We start from the raw sequence: 14,947 nt of genomic DNA, 5'->3' as shown, positions 1-14,947 counted from the left end.
TTTCAGCTAGTACTACCTCATTCCCTGTGGAACTTACCTTCCCATTTCCCAAATTACTTCTTATAGAGATTTTTGGCTTGCTGGGTTCACTTGATGTCAACTTATGAAAAAGGACACTATAATTAAATATATCATAGCCACATAACATGATCTGGCCCCCAGAGCATCGCAAGTTACAGGACGGAGGCAGGTGCCAAAGATAAGATGTGATTGAGTAACCTGCACACCATATGTTCCTTCTTATTAACTACTGCACTTGGGAATTCTGGCTCTTGTAAAAAGTTTATTCCCCTTGTGTGGCTGAGCAGAGTAACAAAACTAAGAAAACTGATGATATGTGAATGAAGTAAGGAAAACCATCTATGGAAATGTGACTTAAAATAAATGTTTATACATGAAAGTTAAAAAACAAATGCAACAGTCACCAGTTCCACAGCCAAAGGCAGCTATTTCAATACTAGTATTCTCAGTTCCTTCATATGCTATAAGAAAAACAGTAAGGAGTCAAGGTCAAAGTGGTTATTTACATAGACAATCTAAGAATCAACAAAGGCTCAACAAATCAAAATGTCACACTGCAGTTCCTTGGTGAGATGACTTTCAACTTAGGGAAAGGGCAGTCTTGGGCACTTATTTTGATTTAGCCAATTCAATATCAAGAAGGTTAAAGATTGGGCACCTGAAAAGCAGCTCAGCAATGCCCTGAATTTCGTCATCCAGCTGTATCCTTGCCCAGAGCTTCACCTGCTTAACTTTCAGCAGAGAAGTTGTTTTTTTGGTGCAATTAACATTGTAAGGCAAGCTCAGCCCTGCTTTACAATAGCCTTGAGGCTGCTGAGTATATCTACAATCATGGAACATACATTTGGTGCTGAAAAAACAGGAAGATGGTTCAACGACAAGGAAAGTGGTCAAGAAGCACATCTAGAATTAAGAAAAACAGACTCCAGTATGCTGGTCTTTGATTTTTTAACTTTTTTTTTTTTTTTTTTTTTTTTGAGACAAGGTCTCACTCCAGCACCCAGGCTAGAGTGCTCATTGCAGCCTCAACTTCCTGGGCTCAGGTGATCCTCCCACCCCGGCCTCCTGAGTAGCTGGGACTATAGGCACACACCACCATGCCCGGCTCTTTTTTTTTTTTTTTTTTTTGGAGAGAGAGGTTTTCACCATGTTGCCCGGACTGTTCTCAAACTCCTGGACTCGAGCAATCCACCAGCCGTGGTTTCCCAAAGTGCTGGGATTACAGACGTGAGCCATGATTTTTTAATTTCTTTATATAGAATATATTGAACTGTGTGTAACTTTCAGAGGTGGTCATGGGGGCTTGCACTTAAGCCATGATGGGAGGAATAAAATAAAATCAATTATTCATAATAATAAAAGCATTAGTAAGAATATCATTTAAGACTTTATGTGCCAAGCTCAATGCTAAACCTTTTACAAATATTTCTAATCCTCAATCATAATTAGTACTTTCATTTTATAGAAGAGGAAACTGATTTGTGTAATTTGGAAATTACCCAAAAGGTAGTAATGGGGGTACTAGGCTTCAAATCCAGGTCTGCCTGACTGTAAACTTCATGCTCTAAAAGCAATTTGTTAAACACTTTTAGCCTAAAGAAATCTAACCAAATTACAAAGTTTAGACAAAAACAGTCTTTATCACAAGAAAATGACTTAACGATACAAAGTATCTCAACAAGTCAGAAGTATGCTTTGGATTTCCAGACTCAGATCTAGGTACTCCCAGCACTGGTGCTGCTGCTGCCTCTCTTTTTTACTTTACTTTTTTTCTTTAAACCCATTTCTGCAGGATGCTGCCTCTTTCTACTCTAATTCTTCCCAGAGGAGTTTCATACTACAAACGACAAAGACATTGTCTAAAGCATTACAGAAATTCCTTCAGTCTTGCCTCTGACTTATCACCTAAATTTGTATCGTTAGGATGAAAGGATTATCCGCTATACCTTAATCATGACGCTATGACAACAAAAAGTTATGGTGGATCCAAGGTTCCAATTCAGCTGGTCCCACACAGTAAAACCAATGCACACTTCCCGTCTCTTTGTTGCTGTTCTGATAAAGCAATTAAAAACCATTCACAACAATTTAAAAAAAACATTAATCCCTGTGCCCATACTGTGTCTACGAAATTGAAGCTGTAAGCCCTTTTTATATGATCCACACTTCTGTCTTTTCCAATACTTGCCCTGTTTTTCTGTGCTGATTCAGCTTTAAGAGAGAAAGAAAGACAAGCTTTGAGAGAGACAGACAACTATGGATAGACAATGTACGGGTAATACAGGGCTATCATCCACCTAGGCAGTTACTTCTTGGTATTCTGAGACCTCCTCAAAACTGTCTGAAAGAAGCTGACGCCTAAGACCGAAAACCCCACAAAGATCGTCTTTCCCAAAAGTAGCAGCATTTCTTCCTATCACTTTCAGATTATAATAAAGCAATCAATAAGACATTCATTCTCTTCATACACAGCCTAATAATCCTGGTGACCAACTATACCCAGCAGGGAGGACAAAGCTCTTAACACGAAAGAGTGAGGAGAATCTCTCCATTACCCTTTTACATATTCAGGGAAGAGAGAATATCGCAGTCGCTGGAAATGAAGGGCACAGCATCGTGTTGCTGTATGGCCACGGTTGGCCACAGAAAGGCAGAAAGTCATCAACTGTATGGAAACCAGACAACTCTGACGATTTCTATGCAAGGTGACTACACCTTACTCGTTCTCCAAGTATTAAAGATCTTTTCATCCTTATTGCTGTGTGAACTCCCGTGAGCGGTAAGGTTTTTCTATACTATCGAGGTCTCTTCCCCGATAGGCTGGAAAATCACACCCGGGAGCGTGTTGGGGCCGCGGGACGTACTATTAGGTGTCTCTCCTCCCGCTGCCTATTCCAAGTAGTAGGGGAGAGCGCTACCTCCATGTTATTCAGAGCGAAGTACGGCCGTGCCTCCTGGAGTCTCCGCTCCCAGCACGAGGGGCCGGCTGGGGGGCATCTCTGAGAGAGTGGGTTTAAGGGGACAAGGGGTATCTCCGGTCCTGCGATCAGAAAGGAGGGCGTGGAGGGTGGTGCCGCCGTGCCGAGAGGATCTGCAGTTCCCCTCCCCTCCCTTCCTCTCCTAGAGAGGCAGCCCGGCCCCAGTACCTTCTTGACTGTGCGCGGCGCCTCGGTGACGGTGCCGTCGGGGCTGACCAGGGCCTCGCCGCCGTCGCGGTGCCGCTGGTGCTGGTGATGTGGGTCGCTCCGCTTCATGGCCGACGCCTGAGGCACCTTCCCGGCGGCGGGGCTGAGAGCGGCGGCGGGCCCCGAGCCCGGGCCGGGGACCGGGGGCCGCTCCGCGGCGGGAGCTGGAGCCTCAGGGTCTCCACCGCCCGCCGGGGGGGCCATGGCGCCCACGGCGGCCGTGCTCAGTCCTAGTTGCGACTCCGCCTCGGAGGGGCTCAGGTCCTTCAGCTCCACCTCAGGCACCTTGGCGGCAGCCGCGGCTGACACAACCTGCACCGACATCACCGCCTCCGCTGCAACCACCGGCTCAGACTCCAGCTCCTGCTCTTGGTCGGCCCCGCCTCCCACCTCCCTTCCTCTTCCCTCCCCCATGTCCCCACTCCTCCCCTCCATCGCCTCCTCTCCCACCCCCTTTCTCCGCCCGCCAGTCCCGGCCCCTCCAGCCCCGCCCCGCCCCGTCCCGGTCTGGCCTCGCGCGAGGCGCCACGGAACCTGTAGTGCGTTTGCTCCCGGCCGCACGCGGCGAGAAGACCGTGGGACCTCAGGCCCCGACCTACACTGCGCGCCCCATGGGCGGGGCCCGCAGCGTCCCCTGGGAGTTGTAGTCCTTTCAGCCTTTCCTCCACTAAGTGAGATTCAGCCGAGGAGAGGGAGCGCTAGGGCCGGCAGCTAACAGAAAGGAGTGAGGATAGGTGACTCGACGGAGGGGATGAGGAAGAGAAAGTCTCCAGAGGAGTTGTGACTTCCGGGGAGGGAACGCCAAGAAGCCTTAGGGGAGGGGAAGTGGTAGAGGAATGGCTCGTTGTCCTGACAGCGTGAAGTTCCTCCGCGCGTGCCCGTCTGCGATCACGTGAGCGAGTATTTAAAGGAGAAGCGGCGGCTCCAGGCTGGAAGTGGCTTTATTTTTCTTTGTGATATTGAGAACTCAACACCCTTCCAAACTTCAGTGGCTTTGTTTTTAGAAGGGATAAAGTAGGACCTTGCTTGCTGTGGCGCTTTCTGTCACATTCTGGGTTTGGAAGCTAAGATCATTCCTCAAAGAAGTTAGGTATCACTAGATCAAAATTCAAGGCTGAGGAATTACACGTTGCCTTAAACGAGGCCAAATCTTTTCACCTATAATTCTAATAGGGCAATCATCTGAAATTCAGATACATATATCAGCATAGAGGGATATGAATAGTGAATATGAGTAGTTAATTTCCTAAGTGATGGGATTTAAGGTGATTTTTACTTTGTACTTTTCTGTATTATTTTTAAATTTTACATTTAGAGGATGTAAGCAAAAAGACATGCACCGCAGCGTCCTTTTTAATAACAAAAAACTGTCTAAAACTAATGTCCAACAAATAGAGCAATTGTTACAGCCTTTGAAAATCGTTTGCCAGCTGGGCATAGTGGTTGACGTCTGTAATCCCAGCACTTTGGGAGGCCAAGGCCGGCAGATCACTTGAGATCAGGACTTCAAGACCAGCCTGGCCAACATGGTGAAACCCCATCTCTACTAAAAATACAAAAATTAGCCAGGCGTGGTGGCGGGCACCTGAAATCCCAGCTACTTGGGAGGCTGAGGCAGGAGGATCGCTTGAACCTGGGAGGCAGAGGCTGCAGTGAGCCAAGATCATGCCACGGCACTCCAGCCTGGACAACGGAGTGAGATGCCGTCCCAGAAAAAAAGGAAGAAAGAAAGAAAATTGTTTGCCAATACTTTTTAACAACAAGGTTTTCCCTTTTTCATTCTTTACTCTGAAAGCCAAAATGTGAAGAGGAAGCTAAGAAACTCTTGTGTCTGGTACACTTGTGAGCTCTGTGGAAATGGCAGTGCTCAGACGCCTTCCGATACATAGTGTGAGGCACAAATTTGGCGATCAGGAAATGAGAGACTCCAAGGCAGGACAACTTCACGAAGTGAAGATTTCCAAAATCGTAATAGCACAGGAAAGAAGATCAAGGCATTCTGGCTTTCAGAATAAATGCTTATGATAAAAACATTAAGCTAAGAAGCAAGAGACAAAATTGCACATGCCATAAGATTTTATGTAAAGAATACTTTAAAAAGCCTGTAATCCCAGCACTTTGGGAGGCCGAGGCAGGCAGATCACGAGGTGAGGAGATCGAGACCATCCTGACTAACACGGTGAAACCCCGTCTCTACTAAAAATACAAAAATAAGCCGGGCGTGGTGGCGGGCGCCTGTAGTCCCAGCTACTCGGGAGGCTGAGGCAGGAGAATGGCGTGAACCCAGGAGGCAGAGCTTGCAGTGAGCAGAGATCGCCCCACTGCACTCCAGCCTGGGCGACGGAGCAAGACTCCGTCTCGTAAAAAAAAAAAAAAAAAAAAGAATACTTTAAAAAAACAAAATGCAGTTGACTCGCGACAGATTATGGGGGGGGTTCCTCTCTATGCTCAGAGAAACAGGAGCAAAGGGGTTCATACAGTTTACAGCTGTTTCAGAGACTTACAGCCCTAACAACCCAGGCAGCCACTGGACAGCTACTCTTTAGACATCTAGTCTTTGGTGTCACTGTGTTTTGCCTGGCAAGGAGAAGGAAGGAGGCCAGGCATGGTGGCTCACACCTGTAATCCCAACACTTTGGGAGGCCGAGGCGGGTGGATCACTTGAGGTCAGCAGTTCGAGACCAGCCTGGCCAACGTGGTGAAACCCCATCTCTAATAAAAATACAAAAATTAGCCAGGCGTGGTGGCTTCTGCCTGTAGTTCCAGCTACTCAGGAGGCTGAGGCAGGAGAATCCTTTGAACGCAGGAGGTGGAGGTTGCAGTGAGCCGAGATTGCACCACTACACTCCAGCCTGGGCAACAGAGCAAGACTCTGTCTCAAAAAAAAAGAAGGAGAAGGGAGAGAAATCACCTGCCTCGATCTTCTTTCCTGTCCTACTATTTTGGAAATCTGTTCACTCTGTGTGGTTGTCCTGCCTTGAATGGAGGCTCTCATTTCCTGATCTCCAAATTTGTGCCTCACAGTACATGTCGGAAGGCATCTGAGCACTGCCATTTCCACAGAGCTCACAAGACACAAGAGATTCTTAAGTTTTTTCTTCACATTCCGGCTTTCAGAATTTCCTTCCTGTTAAAAAGAAACCAGCCCAGAGCTTCATCCTCCAGCTGTCGGAGCAGAGATTAGCAGCTCTGTAACTGATTTCATTCTTCCCCCTAATGCTCAAGGGAGCTACGGTACAGCCACCTGGCATGTGTTGGAGCTCATAGGCAGCAGCTGCCTACCTGCCACTAGAATTGATTACTGAGAGGATGAATTAATTCTTCAGTGTGATGTGGTTATAAAATATAAGGAGTTAGAGCACTGGAATGAAACTGATACCCTGTTTTATTCCAGTCACCACCACTGATTGGGGCCAACCATCAGGACACATTCTTCAACCTGTTGTCAACTCCATCCCTACATACCTGCTGCTTCTGCCATCCTTGTAGCTGAGGGACACCAGGTACAGTTGAAGATCAAATTACATACTAGAAACAGGGTAATTAAGCACCAGTTTATGAACTATTTAATGAAATATTTGGACTACAGGTCTTCTTCCTTCACCCGGCTCATTCAGCTTCCAGAACGCTGGCAAGCAGGAATGTAACGTCCATGCAGGACATTGGTATAAAAAAGAATTTCTTTTTTTCTTTTTCTTTTTTTTTTTTTGAGATGGAGTCTCGTGCCATCGCCCAGACTAGAGTGCAGTGGCATGATCTCGGCTCACTGCAACCTCTGCCTCCTGGGTTCAAGCAATTCTCCTGCCTCAGCCTCCCGAGTAGCTGGGACTACAGGCACGTGTCACCACACCCGGATAATTTTTTGTATTTTTAGTAGAGACGGGGTTTCACCATGTTAGCCAGGATGGTCTCAATCTCCTGACCTCGTGATCTGCCCGCCTTGGCCTCCCAAACTGCTGGGATTACAAGCCTGAGCCACCGCGCCCGGCCAATAAAGAAGAATTTCTTGGCCAGGCACGGTGGCTCACACCTGAAATCCCAGCACTTGGGAGGCCAAGGCGGGCAAATCACGAGGTCAGGAGTTTGAGACCAGCCTGACTAACATGGTGAAATCCCGTCTCTACTAAAATACACAAATTAGCTGGGTGTGGTGGCACACGCCTGTAGTCCCAGCAACTCGGGAGGCTGAGGCAGGAGAATTGCTTGAACTTGGGAGGCAGAGACTGCAGTGAGCTGAGATTGCGCCACGGCACTCCAGCCTGGGCAACAGAGCAAGACTGTGTCTCAAAAAAAAAAAAAAAAAAAAAGAAGAATTTCTCTGAGGTATCTGACCAATCCAAGAGAGAAAACAAAGATACTAACATTGAGAGTTTCCAAAGGAAATAAGCCAGCCAGATCACCCGCCCTGAAGACCATACTCATGTTCACAGAGCTTCCGTGAACAATTTAGTGTCACATTCTTAAGTATGAACAGACAACCAAAGTCACCAGACATATGAAGAAAACTTTGGTTTTTTGTTTCGAGACAGAGTCTCACTCTTGCTGCCCAGGCCAGAGTGCAGTGGCATAATCATAGCTAACTGCAACCTCTGCCTCCTGGGCTCAAGCAATCCTCCCACCTCAGCCTCCCAAGTAACTGGAACTACAGGTTTGCACCACTACACCTGGCTAATTAAAAAAAAATGTTTTTGGTAGAGTAGGGCTCTTGCTATGTTGCCCAGGCTGGTCTCGAACTTCTAGTTGTTTTTTTTTTTTTGGAGACGGAGTCTCGCTCTTGTTGCCTAGGCTGGCGTGCAGTGGCGCAATCTCGGCTCACTGCAACCTCCGCCTCCCAGGTTCAAGCAATTCTCCTGCCTCAGCCTCCCGAGTAGCTGGGACTAAAGGCACCCACCACCATGCCGAGCTAATTTTTCATATTTTAGTAGAGACGGGGTTTTACCATGTTACCCAGGCTGGTCTCAAACTTCTGAGCTCAGGCCATCTGCCTGCCTTGGCCTCCCAAAGTGCTAGAGTTACAGGCATGAGCCACCGTGCCCAGCCTGTTTTTTTGTGGTTTTTTGTTTTTTGTTTTTTTTTAGATGGAGTCTCACACAGTTGCCCAGGCTGGAGTGCAATGGCAGGATCTCGGCTCACTGCAACCTCCGCCTCCCAGGCTCAAGCGATTCTCCTCCCTCAGCCTCCCGAGTAGCTGGGATTACAGGCACGCATTACCACATCCAGCTGATTTTTTTTTTATTTTGAGTAGAGATGGGGTTTCACCATGCTAACCAGGCTGGTCTTGAACTCCTGAGCTCGTGATTCACCCACCTCAACCTCTCAAAGTGCTGTGATTACAGGTGCTAGCCACTGTGCCCAGGCTTGCTTTCCTTTTGAGCAGCGGGGAGAGTGGGGTGGGGTATTGGTCAAAGGGTACTTTAGCTAAATCTGTTATACTTTTCTTTAAAAAAAAAAAAAGATCTGAAGCAAATATGATAAAATGATAAAAAGTTGATAATTCTGAGTGGTGGGAATATGAGTGTTTATTAGGTTGTTCTTTGTACTTTTCTATATCGTTTCAATTTCTTAAAAACAAAAGTAGGCTGGGCATAGTGGCTCATGCCTATAATCCCCACACTTTGGGAGCCCAAGGCAAAAGATCACTTTGATGCCAGGAGTTCAAGACCAGCATAGGCAACATGACCAGACCCTGTCTCTAAAAAAAATTTGTTTTTAATAACATTTGTCTGGCATGATGGTACATGCCTGTAGTTGTAGCTACTTGGGAGGCTGAGGCCGGAGGATCCTTTGAGCCCAGGAGTTTGAGGCTGTAGTGGGCTATGATTGCACCACTGCCCTCCAACCTGGGCAACAGAGCAAGATTCTGTCTCTAAAAATAAAAATAAAAAAGCAGGCAGAGGCTGAACACGGTGGCTGATGCCTGCAATTTCAGCACCTTGGGAGGCCAAGGCAGGAAGATCACCTGGGCCGAGACCAAGTTGGAGACCAGCCTGGACAACATAGTGAGACCCCATCTCTACAAAAAATAAAATTAGGCTGGCATGGTGATGTGCACCTGTAGTCCCAGCAGCTTGGGAGGCTGAGGCAGGAACATCGCCTGACCCAGGAAATTGAGGCTGCAGTGAGCCGAGATTGCATCACTGCACTCCAGCCTGGGCAACAGAGTGAGACCCTGTCTCAAAAAAAAAAAAAAAAAAAAAAAAGAAGACAGAGGAACAACACTCCAGCATGGGCAACAGAGTGACACCCTGTCTCAAAAAAAAAAAAAAAAAAAAAAAGCACAGAGGAACAAAGATGGGCAGTGGACAGACTGCTTTAAGGAAGCTGGAACAAACAGAGGCAAGGCCAGCTGAATTTGAAAGAATGGTAAGAGGCCCAATGAGGCAGCTGAGGGCAGAGCCTGTGATGAGGGGCACGCATGGGGAGCTGTGTTTTCAGGGCAACAGCATAGCAGGGAGTCCCCCAAACTGGGAGTCCCACAAACCAGGCTCCCCTTGGATCCTGAGGGGTTTCTTTGGGGATCTCACTCAGGAGCTTTTGGTAGAAGGGTGGTTACTGTTGTTCAGTCCTGAGATTGATGCTCCCGTAGGGATACTACTGGAAGATTTCTTGGTTGTGGGAGTGTCCATGGTGCTGGACATCTGCATTCACAAAGGTGGGCTCACATTGCCCCCTAGTGGCCACAGAGTCTCTGCACAAATGTCACATTTCTCAGCTGTTTTTTTGGAGACAGGGTGGTGCTTGCTGTAGCCCAGCGCCCAGGCTGGAGTGCAGTGGTGCATTCTCGGCCAGCCTTGACCCTCGCGGGCTCAAGCAGTCCTCCTACCTCAGCCTCCCGAGTAGCTGGGACTATAGGCATGCACCGCCACGTCTGGCTAATTTATTTTTTGTAGAGACACAGTTTCGCCATGTTGGCCAGCCTGGTCTCAAACTCCTGGACTCAAGTGATTCTCTCGCCTCAGCCTCCCAAAATGCTGGGATTACAGACGTGAACCACAGTGCCTGGCCTATTTCTCAGCTTTTAAGGCCCAGATTGAACTCCCCTTTCACCCCATCTCCCATCCTTTACATAAGTAATCCCACTAAAGAAAGGATAGAAGGAGGGAGGAAAACTAGTAGTCAACTGTCTTTGGAGATGAAAAGAAGAACATTGTAACACTCCCCTTTGTTTCAGAAAAGATCCTTAAACAGCACTGATAACTTTCATTATTTTAAATACTGTTGTTGATAAAGGCTAAAAAATAGCTGTAACAATGCTAAGGGAAGCAGTAACGGCCGGGAAGAACAAGAAGAGCAGGTGTAAGAGGATGTGGGATGGCCAGAGGGAACATAAACCAGGAAACCTGGATAGAGAGAAAAATCAAAGGCGGGATTAAGCGTGGAAAGAGCCTGGACACTAGTCAGGAAGAGCCTGGACCTAGTGTCTGTCACTCACTAGCTGCGGGGTAGCAAGCAAGTCATTTTGCTTCACTGAGCTTATATTTTCCAATTAAAATGGCAACAACTGGCTGGGCTCAGTGGCTCACGCCTGTAATCCCAGCACTTTGGGAAGCCAAGGCAGGTGGATCACCTGAGGTCGGGAGTTTGAGACCAGCCTGACCAACATGGAGAAACCCTATCTCTACTAAAAATACAAAATTAGCCAGGTGTGGTGGTACATGCCTGTAATCCCAGCTACTTGGGAGGCTAAGGCAGGAGAATCACTTGAACCCTGGAGGTGGAGGTTGTGGTGAGCTGAGATCACACCATTGCACTCCAGCCTGGGCAGCAAGAGTGAAACTCTGTCTCAAAATACTTAAAATAAAATAAAATAAAATGGCAAAAACTGCAATGACTTTTGCATCAACCTAACACATAAAATGAGCTCCTCTGATTGGTTTATTATTCTCTGAATTAAACAAGAGACAGTGGAGCACCATGGCTAAGTGCCCACTGGAGCCAACAAAATGCCAGCATTTCCACTTACTGTGTGGTCTTGGGCAAGCTACTGAAACTCTCTGTGCCTCAGTATCTTGAGGGGTGTTAACAGAGCCTCACAGGTCTGAATCTGTGAAATTTGATGAATTAATGTACACAAAGTGCTTAGAGAAGTACCCGGCAAGCATACACTAAGAGTTGGCATTTTTTTTTTTTTTTTTTGGATTTATTGATCATTCTTGGGTGTTTCTCGGAGCGGGGGATGTGGCAGGGTCATAGGATAATAGTGGAGAGAAGGTCAGCAGATAAACACGTGAACAAAGGTCTCTGGTTTTCCTAGGCAGAGGTCCCTGCGGCCTTCTGCAGTGTTTGTGTCCCTGGGTACTTGAGATTAGGGAGTGGTGATGACTCTTAACGAGCATGCTGTCTTCAAGCATCTGTTTAACAAAGCACATCTTGCACTGCCCTTAATCCATTTAACCCTGAGTTGACACAGCGCATGTTTCAGAGAGCACGGGGTTGGGGGTAAGGTTATAGATTAACAGCATCCCAAGGCAGAAGAATTTTTCTTAGTACAGAACAAAATGGAGTCTCCTATGTTTACTTCTTTCTACACAGACACAGTAACAATCTGATCTCTCTTTCTTTTCCCCACATTTCCCCCTTTTCTTTTCGACAAAACCACTATCGTCATCATGGCCCGTTCTCAATGGTCGCTGTCTCTTTGGAGCTGTTGGGTACACCTCCCAGACAGGGCAGCCGGGCAGAGGCGCTCTTCACCTCCCAGACGGGGCAGCCGGGCAGAGGCGCTCCTCACCTCCCAGACGAAGGGGGGCCAGGCAAAGGCGCTCCTCACTTCCCAGACGGGGTGGCGGCTGGGCAGAGGCGCTCCTCACATCCCAGACGGTGGGTGGCTGGGCAGAGGCGCTCCTCACATCCCAGATGATGGGCGGCTGGGCAGAGGGGCTCCTCACTTCTCAGACGGGGCAGCTGGGCAGAGGCGCTCCTCAGTTCCCAGATGGGGTGGTGGCCGGGCAGAGGCACTCCTCACATCCCAGATGATGGGCGGCCGGGCAGAGGTGCCCCTCACATCCCAGACGATGGGCGGCCAGGCAGAGACGCTCCTCACTTCCTAAACGGGGTGACGGCCGGGCAGAGGTGGTCCCCACTTCCCAGACAGGGTGGCGGCCAGGCAGAGGTGCTCCTCACTTCCCAGACGGGGCGGCCGGGCATAGGCACTCCTCATATCCCAGACGGGGCGGCCGGGCAGAGGGGCTCCTCACATCCCAGACGATGGGCGGCCAGGCAGAGACGCTCCTCACTTCCTAGATGGGGTGGTGGCCGGGCAGAGGCTGTAATCTTAGCACTTTCGGAGGCCAAGGCAGGCGGCTGGGAGGTGGAGGTTGTAGCAAGCTGAGATCATGCCACTGCACTCCAGCCTGGGCAACATTGAGCATTGAGTGAGCGAGACTCTGCAATCTCAGCACCTCGGGAGGCCGAGGTGGGCAGATCACTCTAGGTCAAGAGCTGGAGACCAGCCCAGTCAACACGGCGAAACCCCGTCTCCACCAAAAATACAAAAACCAGTCAGGCGTGGCGGCACGCGCCTGCAATCCCAGGCACTTGGCAGGCTGAGGCAGGAGAATCATGGGAGCCTGAGGTAGGGAGGTTGCAGCGAGCTGAGATCACGGCAGTACAGTCCAGCCTCGGCAACAGAGGGCGACCGAAGAAAGAGAGAGGGAGAGGGGCAGGGGGAGGGGGAGGGGGAGGCTTTTTTTTTTTTCTGAGACAGAGTCTTGCTGTGTTGCCCAGGCTAGAGTACAGTGATGCAGTCACAGCTCACTGCAGCCTCCAGCTCCTGGGCTCAAGCAATCCACCTCAGACTCCCAAGACCTGGGACCACAGGCACACAACCACGCCCCGCTAATTTTTTAATCTTTTGTAGAGATGGGGGTCTCATTTTGTTGCCCAGGCTGGTCTCAAACTCTGGGCTCAAGCAGCCCTCCTGCCTCGGCCTCCCAAGGTGCTGGAATTTCAGGCATGAGCCACTGTGCCCAGCCAAGAGTTAGCTATTATTAATACACATGTAAAGTGCCTAGGAATACAATCCGTGGGTTAGTATTCCCTTTCCCCTTCTCCTGGAATCTGGCCATGGTCAAAATGCGGTGTCCTCATCACATGAGCAGCATTCAAAGACTACTCCTGGCTGGGCGCAGTGGCTCACGCCTGTAATCCCAGCACTTTGGGAGGCCGTGGCGGGCAGATCACGAGGTCAGGAGATTGAGACCATCCTGGCTAACATGGTGAAACCCCGTCTCTACTAAAAATACAAAAAATTAGCCGGGCGTGGTGGCGGGCACCTGTAGTCCCAGCTACTTGGGAGGCTGATGCAGGAGAATGGCATGAACCAGGGAGGCAGAGCTTGCAGTGAGCCGAGATTGTGCCACTGCACTCCAGCCTGGGCGACAGGGAGACTCTGTCTCAAAAAAAAAAAAAAAATTAGGCCGGGCGCAGTGGCCCACATCTGTAATCCCAGCACTTCAGGAGGCCAAGGCGGGCGGATCACCTGAGGTCAGGAGTTTGGGACCAGCCTGGCCAACATGGAGAAACCTTGTCTCTACTAAAAATACAGAAACTAGTGGGGTGTGGTAGTGCGCGCCTGAAATCCCAGCTACTTGGGGGGCTGAGGCAGAAGAATCGCTTGAACCAGGGAGGCAGAGGTTACAGTGAACTGAGATGGCACCACTGCACTCCAGCCTGGGCGATGGAGCAAGGCTCATTCTCAAAATAAATAAATAAATAAATAAATAAATAAATAAATAAACAAACAAAAATTAGCTGGGCATGGTGGCACACGTCTGTAATCCCAGCTACTCGGGAGGCTGAGGCAGGAGAAATTCTTGAACCCAGGAGGCGGAGGTTGCAGTGAGCTGAGATTGTGCCACTGCACTCCAGCCTGGGCAATAGAGTGAAACTCTATTTCAACAACAAAAAAGAGTACTCCCCAAACAAGCCTGGTCTGTACTCCACAATACCCGCCAGGTCTGTGGGCACCAGCCCCTTTGCTACACAGACCTCCTTCTCTCATAATCCTGAGCCCTTGCACCCCAGTTCCCAGTCTTCTACTGATTATCTCATTGGAGGAAGTGGGGCTAACAGGCTTCCCTGACTGGCCAGGGGAGGAAGCTGTGGATCAGAATGCGTCTAGCCCAATGGACGTCCCTGGTAGAAGAAAGAGGCCCCCAGAGATGAGGTCCAGGAATGCCTCGAGGAGTCCTGCCCATCTCCACTCCCATCAGGCAGACACCATCACCCCAGGGGAAGCTGCATGCCTGTGCTCAATTATCTTGTGATCACTGCTCCGCGAGGCAGCCGTGGTCACAGAAGAGCTTTTGTTCATATAGAGCCGACTGGCTCAGGTGGACAGCCAGCACATGAGGGCGCCATCAGCCTGACATCTGACTGTCAGCCGTGGCCACATTAGCACAAAGCTCTTGGCCTTTCAGAGCACCCTCGGGAAGATGGGGAAGACCAAAAAGATTGGGACCAAGACAAGGTAAGGAGGCCAGGATCGGAGCCCATAGAAGAAAGAACGCACTAGCTGGGCGCGGTGGCTCACGCCTGTAATCCCAGCCCTTTGGAGCCCGAGGCGGGTGGATCACTTGAGGTCAGGAGTTCGAGACCAGCCTGGCCAACATGGTGAAACCCCCTCTTTACTAAAAATACAAAAATTAGCTGGGTGTGGTGGCAGGCACCTGTAATCCCAGCTACTCAGGAGGCTGAGGCAGAATTGCTTGAACCCAGGAGACGGAGGTTGCAGTGAGCCA

At 49.3% G+C, this 14,947-nt stretch overlaps 1 protein-coding gene across 6 annotated transcripts in view, besides 6 other annotated features; it reads right to left on the bottom strand.

Annotated features, from left to right (window-relative positions):
• AHCYL2 (adenosylhomocysteinase like 2) overlaps positions 1 to 3,577 on the bottom strand; it is a 205,182-nt gene extending 201,605 nt beyond the window's left edge. For all 6 annotated transcript variants that reach the window (NR_171671.1, XM_047420088.1, XM_047420087.1 and 3 more), the window contains exon 1: positions 3,168 to 3,577. Coding sequence is in view for 4 of the 6 variants with exons in the window: in XM_047420087.1 (XP_047276043.1) it covers positions 3,168 to 3,530 (363 nt within the window). In the remaining 2 variants the exon portion in view is untranslated. The remainder of the gene's footprint in view (positions 1 to 3,167) is intronic.
• Positions 3,244 to 3,493: a silencer, noted in NCBI's record as "silent region_18628". NCBI's record gives its function as "represses an Ori minimal core promoter by ATAC-STARR-seq in GM12878 lymphoblastoid cells {active_cell/tissue: GM12878}" and the evidence as "EXISTENCE:reporter gene assay evidence [ECO:0000049][PMID:35858748]".
• Positions 3,614 to 3,683: a silencer, noted in NCBI's record as "silent region_18627". NCBI's record gives its function as "represses an Ori minimal core promoter by ATAC-STARR-seq in GM12878 lymphoblastoid cells {active_cell/tissue: GM12878}" and the evidence as "EXISTENCE:reporter gene assay evidence [ECO:0000049][PMID:35858748]".
• Positions 3,964 to 4,073: an enhancer, noted in NCBI's record as "active region_26628". NCBI's record gives its function as "activates an Ori minimal core promoter by ATAC-STARR-seq in GM12878 lymphoblastoid cells {active_cell/tissue: GM12878}" and the evidence as "EXISTENCE:reporter gene assay evidence [ECO:0000049][PMID:35858748]".
• Positions 6,305 to 6,599: a silencer, noted in NCBI's record as "tiled region #13971; HepG2 Repressive non-DNase unmatched - State 3:PromF". NCBI's record gives its function as "represses a minimal TATA promoter and a strong SV40 promoter by Sharpr-MPRA in HepG2 cells {active_cell/tissue: HepG2}" and the evidence as "EXISTENCE:reporter gene assay evidence [ECO:0000049][PMID:27701403]".
• Positions 9,847 to 9,896: an enhancer, noted in NCBI's record as "active region_26627". NCBI's record gives its function as "activates an Ori minimal core promoter by ATAC-STARR-seq in GM12878 lymphoblastoid cells {active_cell/tissue: GM12878}" and the evidence as "EXISTENCE:reporter gene assay evidence [ECO:0000049][PMID:35858748]".
• Positions 11,281 to 11,869: an enhancer, noted in NCBI's record as "NANOG-H3K27ac hESC enhancer chr7:128856579-128857167 (GRCh37/hg19 assembly coordinates)". NCBI's record gives its function as "activates a minimal SCP1, AML or CMV promoter by ChIP-STARR-seq in naive H9 embryonic stem cells {active_cell/tissue: H9 hESC(naive)}" and the evidence as "EXISTENCE:reporter gene assay evidence [ECO:0000049][PMID:30033119]".

The sequence above is a fragment of the Homo sapiens genome, chromosome 7, assembly GCF_000001405.40.
Source record: "Homo sapiens chromosome 7, GRCh38.p14 Primary Assembly".
NCBI lineage: Eukaryota > Metazoa > Chordata > Mammalia > Primates > Hominidae > Homo > Homo sapiens.
Note: the sequence above shows the minus strand (reverse complement) of the source record. Positions and strands in the feature narration are given on the sequence as shown.